Here is a 15,157-nt window from a genome sequence, read left to right as displayed (position 1 = left end):
AAAGTCTAAATTACCTCCTTTTACTTTCTGCAGATACTCAGCAGTTGGACAAGGCTATTTATTCTGCACAGTTTTACACTCCTTACACTGAATGGTGAAATGATGCTGTGGTTTTTCTCCATCAGTCACAGTGCAAGAAGAGAGCTGTGTTTAGTAAGGGATGAACACTCAACCAGTGCCCAGTATTAGTGAGGTTTATAAATGTGGGGGAAATGCCGTCTGTAAAAAATTCATCACCCCTTGGACTCTTAGACCTATGTAGAGCAGGTGAATCGAGGAATTGGGTGACTTTAATTTGACTCAATGCTGTTCCACTGATATGTTACTTTGGGGGTGCGGGGGAAGCACCACTTTCTGGTGAGCCTTAGTTGTTTGCTCTTTGTAACGGGAATAATTAGCACCTATCTCATGAAGCAATTGTGTTAGAAGAACAGATGAGCTAATGTCTGAGAGGTACTTTAAGGTCCTTAGAGAAAGGCTGCATCTAAATACAAGGAATTATTATTATATAAGAAACCTAATTACTCTCAGCAGGAAGCAAACTAGCAAAGCAAAGGAGACCAACTTAATGAATAGAAGGAGCAGTTGCAGTTGCACTAACTTTGGCTGGAGAGGCAGAAAAGCAGCTCATTCCTTCCTGGGTTGTGCAGGTCATTTAACATCATCAAGACACTGTCTCCTGATAACTTTCACGAGGCCTGGGGTTGCAGATATCTATTGGGGAATAGTTTACTGCTGATGAATATGGTGGTAAATGGGGCCAAAGAAGCAGTAGGAATGCTTTCAAGTTTGACTGTTCCTATTAAGACATGGTTTGCTTTGAGTAAACTCATCTCAATGAGCCTTTATACATTCAGAAATGAAATCTCTAAATCAAAATGTTAAGGCTAACACAGGTGGTTATTCCGTTCTTCCCCTCCCCTTTTCCAGCTATCGAATTAACCTCCTTTTATTTTTCACACCACCACCTTAAATAATCCCCAGAGGGAGGGGAGTAGACAAAAACTGTTGAATCATATTGGCTTTGTTCTGTTGTTGAATCATTTCCAGATCTATCACATCACTTGCCATATACCGGTTGACATAATTTTAATTCGGCTCTTCCTTACATGTTAACAGATAAATAATGCATAAGAAAACTTGATTAGCTTTCTTATTAAAACATCACTCTAAATGAGAGGAGGCGCTAGAAGACAATACAGTTTTTACACGGCTTTCCCATGAGCAGTTGAATGGTTTGATGTGATAAATTTGCATAGTCTGAAGCGCACAAAGGGCTGATTAATTGAAACCCTTACAATGCTTTTGCAAGCAACTATTGTAAAACAATAACCATAGGAACTTTACAAAATACACACGGCTGAATGTGTCAAGAGCTTAATAAAATGTGTTGAGGCTACACTATTTGGAAACAGAATTGGAGATTTTTATTCTGGGCCATAAAACACTAAATACCCTAATTTCAAAGCTTTAGTTGGATATTTACTGAAAGGTCAGAGGGTTACTGGCGAGCTACTGAAGACCAAAATTTGTTCCTAAAAAAGTCAATTCCATAAAATCTTCTTCCAATAAGGTATCTGTGTGGACGAAGAAACCCTGATTTAATAACATTAAAGTAAGAGCTGCTGGAGTTTTGGTTTTGGACTGAAACTCTGATGGATCATTTGGCATCATACACCTTATGATGGGGCTCATACGGATAGCCCTACCAGCCTCCTTCTCCCCTCCCACTTAGAAACTTCCATTCAAGCAGGATCAAGCAAAGCAGACAGCCAAAGCTATCCAGACTGTTTAAAGCTGTGGACTTGCAGAGAGGATTTTAGACAGTCTCAAGTACTACACGAGTACAAGGTGTTATTATTATTACTTTAAATCAGGTTCTTTTCACTGTCTCAATTTTAGAAAGCATAATACAGAAAAAAGGACTAACAAATGAAGGTCTAGCAAAACCAAACCTTGTTTAACAGATAAACTTTCTCCTTGGCTTTTCTATCACACATGAATTACCATTTTCTTACTTCCCACAAGCCTCTTTATATCTACTGTAAAAAGATTCTTTAATGTGTTGGAAAGTCAGGGCAGGTTTTCTTTTCTTCTAAGAAACATTCAATCAAAATCTTAATAAATTAATTCTGCAGGTTATTGAATAACTTATTAGTGCAAAATGGAAGCAAGTGACCTTATAATGGAACTTTTCTTGTATAAGAGAGGGTCAATGATGAATCTTCCAAACGATTTTATCCATATACGCATAATCCTTATCAACCACAGATAGGCAGACTAAACCATTAAGTGAAAAAACTATATTTTGATAAGACTAGACTTCTATTGTAAAACAAAAGTTGACTTCACTCCATTTAAACTAGCTGTCTGGTCCTTAAGGATTTAGGGAGCGTATGCCATTATCTCAGATTTGCAGTTATTAAAAAGCTTCTATTTGCCAGGACAAACACTCTTGCTCAAATACAGTTTTTCCTCTCCTTAGGAGTACTGCTTGGTATTGCTGCCCGATGCTGTGATCCACAGGACCTTTGTTGGAGGTGCTAATCCTTTTTCACATGAGAGACTGAGAAATGTTCTTTCAGGGAAGTGATATATTGCTTTTTTTTTCTCTCCACATCAAAGGAGTCCGCTTTTTCCTCCTTCATTGTGAATGGCAGCAAAAGAAGAGGAAATCTGGAAATATAATAATTTGGTTTGCCTGAACACTGAAATGGAACTTGAGAATTCCTTGGGCTGTCAGATAATTTTTGTTAAAGATTTTTTTTAAAAGGAGTAGTTAATCTTCTAATAAATGCACTAATCATCAGAGAAAACAAGGCTCAAGATAAAAATATTTGCCCTTGATGAGTTCCCTCCATTAGAATTTATAACACAGTTGAAGAGGCTTACATGTGTTATTTTGATTTTAATAGAAAGTCTAATTCCAAACATAATTTCAATCAGCATATGTGAATGTCTCTTCCTATCTTTATCTATAAAAATGATTAGAATATACAGCAACACATAGAACATTCCACACCCATGTTCAGCTCTGTTTTCCCTTTGGAACATCATTATGCCTCAACCAGATAAGTCATGGCTTCACTCGAAAATACCTAGAAGTCTAGACCACTTGGGAAATGAGCTCAAGACTTCAGGGTTTACATATTTCTCCCCAAATGAATTTAAAACAAAACTAAACTTTCCTGCCTTCATAAATAAACAAAAGACAAATTCACAACTTTGATGTATAGAAGGTTATTACTAAATCATTTCACCTTGGCCAGCATTTTGCATACTACTAAAGGATGAACGGCTCTAGAGATTCTTAATCAAAGGTCCAGCTCTTTTGGGGGGATGCAGACTCACTGCACATTTACTGATAAGATATATAACTGACCTCACAATGCCCAAAGGAAGGTTGTACTTCATTAAGATTCTTTGAATGTCTCAGTAGAAGACTGTATTGAAATGTCCTCATCTAAAAAGTACACTGTGAGTGAATCCTGCCTGCTTCTGAGCCCACAGTAGTCTATGTTAATTGTGATGCCACCTTCTTTACAAAACATGGTTCCTCATTACTTGGTTCTCTGCTTAGTCCTCCTCCACTTTTGAGGTTACAGAAGGTGATGTTGCTTATTGGGTCTGTCACCTCTGTATCTGATAAAACATTTTCACTTCTCCAGTGGGCCTCCTCTGACCAACTGCATTCAATCTTTGCTTATCATGCAGCACTGATGTTGATTCCCAACTACTCAGTATTGACTCGCTTATTCCAGCTGACCCACGCATTCTGCCCCCTTCAGTCTTCTCCATGAGCTCTGTGATCACATGCAGCACATAACTACCACTGTTCCGCTTCCTCTTTATGTTTGTTTCATTTAGCTACTAATTATCCTACCACCTTTGAAGCGATCAGGCTTGAGCGGGACAGATGCACATGTTCTGTGAAACTAAATTTTCAAGTCTCCTTTAATTGTTAGGATATCTGAAGAGGCATTGGGCACCGAAATGTGATCTACACACAATTCATATACAGAAAGAATCCCTAACAACAGCTTTGTCGAAGTAAGCTTTTAAGAAAAGACAAAAATCAGACAATCTGCAGGGCCATGTTACTTTCTGAACACCCAGAACAATACATTTAATGCTCTAAATGGAGAGAGAAAAATAATATGCACAAAGGTATACTAAATCAAAAGAATTTTTAAATTTTCTCATAGATAATATGTATGTGTCAACTTGCAGGAGATACTACAAAAGAAAAAACAGGATTTCCAAACAATTCTACATCTCAGGATTAAAAACTAAGTTCAACTAACCACTGCTCTTATTCTGGCATGTATCTGGACCAAAACAGAAACAAACAAACAAACAAACCTCTGCAGGAATCGTGGTGTGACACATATACCCTGAAAACTCAACACTTTGAAATTTTTATCAGCTCATTTCATGACAACTACAAATAGCATAACTGATGTTGTGGACTACATTTTCTGTTTCACTCACATTTTACTTGCCAATATCCAACTCCTTTAGGCCTGATGCAGTCCCCCTTAGGGCCCACACTAAGCGCTGGGTTATTGTGTGGCTCCTTACAGACACCTGCCATCTGTGCCTGGCATGTGAAGGTTCCAAGTGCACTAACTGTAAACACTGTGGCCAAAACATTTTCTTCAAGTGCCCTCTTTTTGTGGCTTTTACTGTCACATCTAGCCAAATAAATTGGGAGAACTGTCAAAGTTGAGGGCTCAGAAATTTACTTCCTTTTACATCTGTTTGAAATCCTGATAGATTCTGAATTTTACACAAGGCCACTAAAGCCTGACCAGAGGACCCGTTAAAGAAGGGAGTGGGGATAGTGTTTTACAATAAGCTGATTTTAGAAGGAAAGGGACACCAGAAAATACAGCTTTATTTTAGGAGTACATCTTAATATGGGGCTTTGGCAGGCATTTGTGCGACATGCTGTATGAGGGTAGTATTTATTCTGGATTTGTGGCAGCTGTAAAGCTGCTTATCCAGGAAGAATGGGAATTTTGAGAAGATGCCCATCTTAAGGAGGAGACAGAAAATAATACTAAAAAACAGCAGGATTCATCCTCAGAAAAGGTAGTGTCTTTCCAACGAGAAATCTCTGGGAATATGGCAATCTCAGGAGCAGAGTAAGATACAAGAAGAGAAAAGAGCCACCTTTAACCAGATTTAACCAAATGAGCCATATGCTTGGAATCAAAATCCTGGATTCAAATGTGGGCTCTGCCAGCACCAAGCTGTAGGAGGCATGCTACTCACCTCCCCTGAACCTCAATCTCCTTACTCTTTTTTTTTTTTTTTTTTTTTTTTTTTTGAGACGGAGTCTCCCTCTGACCCCAGGCTGGAGTGCAGTGGCCCAATCTAGGCTCGCTGCAAGCTCCGCCTCCCAGGTTCACATCATTCTCCTGCCTCAGTCTCCCGAGTAGCTGGGACTACAGGCACCTGCCATCACGCCCAACTAATTTTTTGTATTTTTAGTAGAGATGGGGTTTCACCATGTTAGCCAGGACGGTCTCGATCTCTTGACCTCGTGATCTGCCCGCCTCGGCCTCCCAAAGTGCTGGGATTACAGGCGTGAGCCACCGCGCCTGGCCAATCTCCTTACTCTTTATAGTAGGAATAACAACACAAACTGGAACTGTACCAGTTAAAGGATGAAATATAGATAAAAGTGCTTATAAATGATCAATACACAAAAAGTAAAATACTATAAATGTGGAGATAAACAGCATGCAAATGATTCCTCAATTTTTTCTCTAGCCCAAATCTCTCCCTGGAGCTCTAGACTCTATAACCAATTGCCAGCCTATATCTTCACTTGGAGTCTAATCATCTCAACCTGAGGCCCAAACTCTCAACCTCTGCCCTTGTCTAATGCCAAAAAACTATTCTTTACCCAATTGCTCCCATCTTGGTAAACAGCATTATCAGTTGCTCAGGCCACAAACTTCATCCTCAACTCCTGTCTTTTCCTCTTGCAACATCCATCCAAGCCATAAGCAAGTCCTGTTGGCTCTATCTCCAGAGTATGTCCAGAATCCAGTCACTTCTCTCTATTTTTCCACTGCTGCTGTCCTAGTCCAAGCCACCACCCTTTCTTGCCTGGACCACTGCAATGGTCTCCCTGCCCCCTTCCTTGCCCGTTCCAATCCACTTTTCATATAGAATCCACAGTGAGCTCTAGAAGTTGTAAGTTAGATCTCGTCACTCCTTTGCTTATATTCATTTTTATGGTTTGTATGTACCCACAAAAACTCATGTTGAGATTTAATTGATATGGGGCCTTTAAGAGGTGGTTAGGTCATAAGGACTCCATTCCCATGAATGGATTAATGCCATTATTACAGACTTGGGTTACTTATCTCAGGACTGGTTTGGTTATAAAAGCAAGCTCTCCTGCCCCTCTGCCTGTCTGCCACGGGATGATCCTCTCCAGATGCTGGTGCCACGCTCCTCCACTTCCAAGTCTTTAGAACCATAAGCCAAATAAACTTCTTTTCTTTATAAATTATCCAGTCAGTGGTATTTTGTCATAGCAGCAGAAAATGGACCAAGACACCCACCATCCAACGGTTCTGTTGGTTCCCAGCATATCTGGAGTAAAGTCCAATCTCCTTTCTTTTAGCCAAAAGGCCCTATAGGATATGCCCCCATCATCCTTCTGTCACTCCCCAAGTCTCATACTGTGCTGCTTGTCAGGCATATGCCTGGCCAGACTGGCCTTTTTTCTGTTCCTTGAATATACCAAGCTTATTCGTGCCTCAGAACTCTTACCCTAATGATTCTCTCTGCCTATAACTAAATCCTCCCAGACTTTTGCTCGGCTGGCTCCTTTGTATCCTTCGTGTCTCAGCTCAATGTCGCTTCCTCCGAGAGGCTGTTCCTGATCGTAATCTAAAGTACACACCCCCACCTCTAAACCATCCACTCTTTTATATCATTCTTCATATATGGCACTTATCATTACCTTCAATTATCCTGTTTATATTTTTGTTTACACTTTTTTTTCTTGAAATGGAGTCTTGCTATACTGCCCAGGCTGGTCTCAAACTCCTGGGCTCAAGTGATCCTCCTGCCTCAGCCTACTAAGTAGTTGGGGTTTATATTTTTGTTTACTTCTTTTTTGTCTGTTTCCTCCCCAAGGAGAACACAAATCCCGGGAGAACAGAGACCCCATCAGTCTTGTTTACCTCTGTATTTCCAGTATTTAGAACAGTGCTTGGCACACAGTGAAAGCTCAATAAATGGATGAATTAATCAACAATATAGGCACTCGAGATGATCTTCCATCATCTCACCATCTCAAGTCAGTGAGACACAAATGCTTTGTGATTGGTGCCATCGTTTACCGGATTAAAACCACAGTCCCCGTGGTTTTTCTTCTTTATGCTGTCTTTATTTCAGTCAGTCAAGTCCATTCATTTGCTCTTCTCTGCTGCCCCCTGTTTTTCTTTCACATCTTTATCAAAGCCCTCTAAGCCTGAACCCCATCTAGTCTCTGAGGGCTTCCTTTACCAGGCAGCCTGCAAGAGAAGACCCAAGACAGACCTGCCCGCAGCTCACCTTTACTGCCTCCTGTCTGTGCATCAGGCACTGTGTTCCCTGCTTTTACACATTAGTATCAAGGAGGCCAAGACATAAAGGGACAAAATAGTTCACCTAGTTGGAGTTCAAGACCTTTCTCTCTCTGCTATACTTTTCGTCAATCCGAGGGCTTTCTTTAAATACTGAACAGAGGATGGCTGTGATGAAAAGGCAATATGTTCATTCAGTATGGCCCACAAGACAAGGCAGGACTAACTGCAGTAACTTATAGACTCTTGAGCACTCTTACTAACTCTTGAGCACCTCTGACTCAAGAAAACTATCAGAGCAGTGCTACTACAGAAGAGGCTGCCTCAGAAAATAGCAAGGGCCTCCCTTCACAGGCCACAATCAACATGGAAAACCATCTGCCAAAGATAATCTAAAAAGAACTCTTATACTAGAAGATGGATTTAGACTGGACTTCTAAAAGGACTTTTCAAACTCTAAGATTCTATTCCTATCTATGGTAAACTCTAAACCTCTATATTTTTAGTGGTTTCTCCCATATAATTTAGCATTTAACTATGTAATCCTTCGTATCCATCTTTTTGCTTCAGGTGTCAGTCAACTCCTCATGGGCATTAGTCAAGGGATTAATTTACTTTCTATCCCCTAAAGTGCCCCACACAGTTTTGAGCCCACAACAGTAACTTAAAAATGACCGAATAGGTTTCCCTGGGGCTGTCAAGGCAGGTTCTCATTTGTGCCTGGGATGGACGTGGGTGGGCATGTATACAGTTGACCCTTGAATAACACAGGTCTTAACTGTGCAGGTCCACTTATATGGGGATTTTTCTTCAATGAGATATGAATCGAAAATACAGCATTTGCGGAATGTGAGCCCTTCTCCACAGAGGGACAACTTTTCATATATTTGGGTTTTACAGGCCCAACTGTGGGACTTGAATATATGCAGGGGTCCTGGAACCAATTCCCAGCATATACTGAGGGATAACTATATTTAGTTATTATGGCTGAAGAAGCTTTAGTGGGCCTGTGTGATCAGTTAGGGTTGGGGAGCTATGAGTCTTAGGTGTTGAAACTCCTGGTGCCAGTTTAGATAAAAATGAGGCATCTCATTTCTGATATTTACTAGGAAGAATAAATTACACTTATTCTGGGAGTAGTGAGTTTGGCTTGTTATGTCAGTACAATTTCCAACAAGACCAATGAATATGTAAAATCCTTTATTTAATAAAGGATTCCTCAAACATCATAAGTGGATACCATATTATATGCAAAGTGCTATGCTGGGTGCTTTGGGGTTAAGTAAATCAGCAGGGCATGTTTCCTAATCTCAACGAACCTAAAATATACTTACCTAAGTGATATGGTTTAGATTTGTGTCCCCACCCAAATCTCGTGTCAAATCCCCAGTGTTGGAGGAAGAACCTGGTGGGAGGAGATTGGATCATGAGGTGGATTCCCCCCTCGCTGTTCTCATGATAGTGAGTGAGTTCTCACAGGAACTGGTTGTTTTAAAGTGTGTAGCACCTCCCCCTTCTCTCTCTTCCTCCTGCTCTGGCCGTGTAAGATGTGCCTGCTTCCCCTTTGCCTTCTGCCATGATTGTAACTTTCCTGAGGCCTCCCTAGCCATGCTTCCTGTACAGCCTGCAGAGTTGTGAGCCAGTTAAACCTCTTTTCTTTATAAATTATCCAGTCTGAGGTATTTCTTTATAGCAGTGTGAGAATGGAATAACACACTAAGTTAGCCAACAAGGTATTCTGGATATTTAACAACATATACAATTATTTTTTAAAAAAACTATTGGTATCTTTGAATCTTTAGAATTTTATTTATAAAACTTCAAAAAATAGACTTTTACTACTGTCATGCCTCTGGCTTCAGATGGGTGACATTCAAGAAGAGGACCAAAGTTGTAGACCTTAGTTACAACAATGATCCAGAAGAAAGATAAATTATTTTCAGATAAGAGCTGACAAACTATGATTAATGCTTCTCTGATGATTGTTAGCATTTATGTAATAATTCTCAGGGTGTGAGCTTTAAACATTTTAAAATTAATTTTCAATCTGAGAATTGATTAAAATAGACAAAAACAAACAAACAAACAAACCCAAGAAGTCTTAGAGGCAAGGCTCTGGTCAGGAAACAAAAGGTTAGTGCTCTAAAAATCCTTCTCATTTTTTATTAAAATAATTTTCAGTTCTATAAGTTGCATTGAAAAAAATCAAGCATACTCACTAAACATTCTTGTGCTGAATATTCACAAATAATAAACAGATTTCTAGTTAAACATGACAGATGAAACACATGTGTTTATCAACACTGCTTCTCTAAACTTCACTGAGTTTAAAAAAATTAAGGTGTAAACCTACGTGTAAGGAGAAAGAATGGGCACAGTGGTATCAGTGGGCATGAGATAATTCTACAACTTTGAAAGCTGATAAAGAGAGGAAAGAAAAGTAACAGGAGAGTAATACTAAGTCCCTGCAGATGAGATGTGAAGAGGTGAGCTGACATGGCCTTTGGTGCCACCCCCACTCACCCACCCGATTCCTGGGAAGGCTCAGAAGACAGAGACACGAAGTACTAGTATTGCAAAAGGCAGCGTGAGGAGCGAAGCTGAAAGCAAGAAGACTGAGTCAAAGCCGCCCAATCCATCAGCAATTCCAGGAGGCTCTACTTTCAAAATGTGTCCAGACTCTGATCCCTTCTCACCAATTCCTCATCGTTATGCTTTTCCAGCCCACCTCCAACTCTCACATAGCTTCTGAACTGGCACCACTGCAGTTTCTTTCAACACAGCAGCCAGTGTCAGTCAGATCATCTCTCTCACCAGCTCAAACCCCTCTCCAGTGGCTTCCCTCTCCCTCAGAATAAAAGCCAAAGTTCCTGCAGTGACCTATGAGCCTCATGGCTGCCTCCTCACTTCTCACTCTGCTCCAGCTATGGGGCCTCCTTGCTGGTCTTCTATTAGGTGAGCTACAGCTGCAAAACCTTCACCTCAAATGCTCTTCAGCCAGAGAGGGCTCACCCTCTTACTTCTCTCAGATCTTTACTCAATGCCATCTTTTCAACATGGTGTTGTTCCCCAACCACTCTGCCTAAACTTTGAATCACTAACCACACGCCCTCCCCTCACATGCTTCCCATCCCCCCTCCCAGCTTTCAATCTTTTCTCATCTCACGACATATCATTCCCTCAGCACTTACTATTTTCCTTCTTGCCCACAAGAACACAAGCCCCGCAAGGGTTGGAACTTTAATCTATTTTGTTTACTGCTTGTGACCAGAGCCTAGAATAGTACCAGACACGCAGAAGATACTTAACAAATATTTGTATAAATAAATGTCTATATAAGAAATTGTCAGTTCTCTGTATTCCCTAGTCCATACAGCCAGGAAACTACACTTCTCCCCTAACCCTTACCTGAGTAACCATCACTTGAGTACTTGATCTGAGACCCAAGGGTAGCAAGCGCAGCAGAGGGTGGGCTGGTCAAAAGCCTGATACAGAGGAATTAAAGTCTATGCACTGAAGAGTAAGCTCCAGTCCCTGCCCCTGCCTGACTCCTGGAGGTCAGCTGACAGCCTTAAGCACTGCCCCACCCTCATTCCCAGCTCCAACCTTCAGGCAGGAGTTAGAAAGATCCTAGTATGTTGAAACTGAATGGCACAACAATAAAGTAGTTCACTACCTGACCACCCAGCAATGATATTCACTAGTCAACAAGTTCTATCCATGGGACACAGAGCTTTGAAATGCTTTCTAGGGTTCAGGGGTATACCAGGTATTAGAGGAAAGCCTCCAACAACAACAAATCAGACACTAAAACAAATAGGAGAGGAAAATCCTATCGAGAGATAGAAACAGCCAGGCACAGTGGCTCACACCTGTAATCTCACACCTGTAATCCCAAGGTTCAAATGCCATTTTGGGAAGCTGAGGCAGGTGGATCACTTGATCCTAGAAGTTCGAGACCAGCCTGGGTAATATGGCAATACCTAGTCTCTACAAATAATAATAATAAAAAAAGCCAAAAAAAAAACCCAAAAACAAAAAACAAAAATTAGCCAGGCATGGTGGTGCATGCCTGTAGTGCAGCTACTCAGGAGGCTGAGATGGAAGGATCGCTTGAGCCCAGGAGGTTGAGGATGCAGTGAGCTGTGATTGTGCCACTGTACTCCAGCCTGGGTGACAGAGCAGAGCAAGATACTGTGAAAAGAAAAGAAAAGAAAAGAAAAGAAAAGAAGGAAGGAAAGAAAATTAGAAACAGAAGAAAACTAAAAAGAAAAAAAGAAAAACCAAAAAACTAAAACTCAAAGAAAACTAAAAATACATACTTCTTGCTATAAGAGAAAGAATAGGCTGGGTGCGCTGGCTCACGCCTGTAATCCCAGCACTTTGGGAGGCCGAGGCAGGTGGATCACGAGGTCAGGAGATCGAGACCATCCTGGCTAACACAGTGAAACCCCATCTCTACTAAAAAAAATACAAAAAATTAGCTAGGCATGGTGGCGGGCACCTGTAGTCCCAGCTACTCGGGAGGCTGAGGCAGGAGAATGGCATGAACCCAGGAGGCAGAGCTTGCAGTGAGCCAAGATTGCGCCACTGCACTCCAGCCCGGGCGACACAGCAAGACTCTGTCTCAAAAAAAAAAAAGAGAGAGAGAAAGAATATAAATTAACTTTAAACATTTAATTAGAAATTTAAAATATGATAGGTTTAAAAAAATCTGAAAAATAACGTTGATCAAATCTCCTAAAAAGAAAAACAAGAAGGCAAAAAGATAAGAAAACTAGAGCATCAATCTGGAAGTCCCAATATTTGATCACTAAGAAAACCAGAAAGGGTATGGGGAAAATGAGGAAGAGGAAATTATTAACTAAATAAATATAAGAAAATGTCCTAGAACTGAAGGAACTTAAACCTCCAGGATGCGACGGTGTCCAATTGCCCAGCACAAGGAATGAAAGAAGAGCCTATGAAATTTCAGAATGTCAAGAAGGGAAGAAGATAGTAAAAGCTTCCAGAGAGAAAGGAATAAAGTAGGAGGGAGGTAAGGAGGGAAAAAGAGAAACAGGGCACAAAAACACGAGGAAGAAGAGTGACATTACAATTTACATGGAATTTAGATGACCATGTGGCAAGGCCACCAAAATCCTTAGGGAAAACAATTTTCAACCTAGACTTTTATACCTAACCAAAGTTGGGTGAGGAGGAGAGACAAGGACTGATGGTTTTTTTTTGTACAAAGAACCCTTTCTTGTTCTGTTTGACCTTTTAAAACCATGTGCATTTATTATTTAATAATAAAATTATACTTAAGAGAAATAAAAATTATGTCCAGTTACGAGTCCCATGTCAATCCTTCTATTACTCTGTTAAAGTTTACACTACCTACTTTTTGTTTGTTTGCTTGTTTTTTCCCCAATCTTTAACATAAATTTGATGAAGCTGTAAGAGAAGGGACTATCAAGGGAATCTAGGCTAATCAGAAGGTTTTTACCCTTGGATTAAAAGCCATCTGGAAAAAAAAAAGTAGCAAGACAAAACTCCTCACTACAAGGGAAAGGTCAGCTAGACCCAGGAGGACTCCTTCAGTTTCGCAAAGAGACGTACAAGTCAAAGCTCCCCTAAGAATGAACAGTTCTCTAAAATCTGCTGTTTCAGATCACTGCAAATTAGAAACCATGCCTGTTAATGAACATTATACCAATCATATTAACAGTCTGAAAAAATGCTATAGCACAAAGACCTTCCTGACGTTTTACCTAGACGCCTGTATTTTCAGGAGCTTACTAATTAGGTGTGTTGTTTTCATTTTTAAAAGCACTGCTTTGGCCGGGCATGGTGGCTCACGTCTGTAATCCCAGCACTTTGGGAGGCTGAGGTGGATGGATTGCCTGAGCTGAGGAATTTGGGACCAGCCTGGGCAATATGGTGAAACTCCATCTCTACTAAGAATACTAAAAATTAGCCAGACATGGTGGTACACACCTGTAGTCCCAGCTAATGGGGGATGCTGAGGCAGAAGAATTGCTTGAACCCGGGAGGTGGAGGTTGCACTGAGCTGAGATCGAGCCACTGCACTCCAGCCTGGGTGACAGAGTGAGGCTCTGTCTCCAAAAAAAAAAAAAAAAAAAAAAAAAAAAAAGGGGAGGAGCCAAGATGGCCGAATAGGAACAGCTCCCGTCTACAGCTCCCAGCCCGTGAGCGACGCAGAAGACGGGTGATTTCTGCATTTCCATCTGAGGTACCGGGTTCATCTCAGTAGGGAGTGCCAGACAGTGGGCGCAGGCCAGTGGGTGCGCGTACCCTGCGCGAGCCGAAGCAGGGTGAGGCATTGCCTCACCTGGGAAGCACAAGGGGTCAGGGAGTTCCCTTTCCGAGTCAAAGAAAGGGGTGACGGACGCACCTGGACAATCGGGTCACTCCCACCTGAATATTGCGCTTTTCAGACCGGCTTAAAAAACGGTGCACCACGAGACTATATCCCACACCTGGCTCGGAGGGTCCTACGCCCACGGAGTCTCGCTGATTGCTAGCACAGCAGTCTGAGATCAAACGGCAAGGCGGCAGCGAGGCTGGGGGAGGGGCGCCCGCCATTGCCCAGGCTTGCTTAGGTAAACAAAGCAGCCGGGAAGCTCGAACTGGGTGGAGCCCACCACAGCTCAAGGAGGCCTGCCTGCCTCTGTAGGCTCCACCTCTGGGGGCAGGGCACAAACAAAAAGACAGCAGTAACCTCTGCAGACTTAAATGTCCCTGTCTGACAGCTTTGAAGAGAGCAGTGGTTCTCCCAGCACGCAGCTTGAGATCTGAGAATGGGCAGACTGCCTCCTCAAGTGGGTCCCTGACCCCTGACCCCCGAGCAGCCTAACTGGGAGGCACCCCCCAGCAGGGGCACACTGACACCTCACAAGGCAGGGTATTCCAACAGACCTGCAGCTGAGGGTCCTGTCTGTTAGAAGGAAAACTAACAAACAGAAAGGACATCCACACCAAAAACCCATCTGTACATCACCATCATCAAAGACCAAAAGTAGATAAAACCACAAAGATGGGGAAAAAACAGAACAGAAAAACTGGAAACTCTACAACGCAGAGTGCCTCTCCTCCTCCAAAGGAATGCAGTTCCTCACCAGCAACGGAACAAAGCTGGATGGAGAATGATTTTGACGAGCTGAGAGAAGAAGTCTTCAGACGATCAAATTACTCTGAGCTACGGGAGGACATTCAAACCAAAGGCAAAGAAAGTTGAAAACTTTGAAAAAAATTTAGAAGAATGTATAACTACAATAACCAATACAGAGAAGTGCTTAAAGGAGCTGATGGAGCTGAAAACCAAGGCTCGAGAACTACGTGAAGAATGCAGAAGCCTCAGGAGCTGATGCGATCAACTGGAAGAAAGGGTATCAGCAATGGAAGATGAAATGAATGAAATGAAGCAAGAAGGGAAGTTTAGAGAAAAAAGAATAAAAAGAAATGAGCAAAGCCTCCAAGAAATATGGGACTATGTGAAAAGACCAAATCTACGTCTGATTGGTGTACCTGAAAGTGATGAGGAGAATGGAACCAAGTTGGAA

The 15,157-nt window shown here is 41.6% G+C and overlaps 1 protein-coding gene across 3 annotated transcripts in view, besides 2 other annotated features; it reads right to left on the bottom strand.

Annotated features, from left to right (window-relative positions):
- Positions 1-15,157, bottom strand: part of POLR3B (RNA polymerase III subunit B) — a 152,451-nt gene that overhangs the window by 18,579 nt on the left and 118,715 nt on the right. The window lies entirely within an intron of this gene.
- Positions 154-731: an enhancer, noted in NCBI's record as "NANOG hESC enhancer chr12:106884667-106885244 (GRCh37/hg19 assembly coordinates)". NCBI's record gives its function as "activates a minimal SCP1, AML or CMV promoter by ChIP-STARR-seq in naive H9 embryonic stem cells {active_cell/tissue: H9 hESC(naive)}" and the evidence as "EXISTENCE:reporter gene assay evidence [ECO:0000049][PMID:30033119]".
- Positions 14,043-14,615: an enhancer, noted in NCBI's record as "H3K27ac-H3K4me1 hESC enhancer chr12:106870783-106871355 (GRCh37/hg19 assembly coordinates)". NCBI's record gives its function as "activates a minimal SCP1, AML or CMV promoter by ChIP-STARR-seq in naive H9 embryonic stem cells {active_cell/tissue: H9 hESC(naive)}" and the evidence as "EXISTENCE:reporter gene assay evidence [ECO:0000049][PMID:30033119]".

Source organism: Homo sapiens, chromosome 12 (genome assembly GCF_000001405.40).
Source record: "Homo sapiens chromosome 12, GRCh38.p14 Primary Assembly".
Taxonomy (NCBI): Eukaryota; Metazoa; Chordata; class Mammalia; order Primates; family Hominidae; genus Homo; species Homo sapiens.
This window is presented reverse-complemented; position numbering and strand designations above follow the sequence as displayed.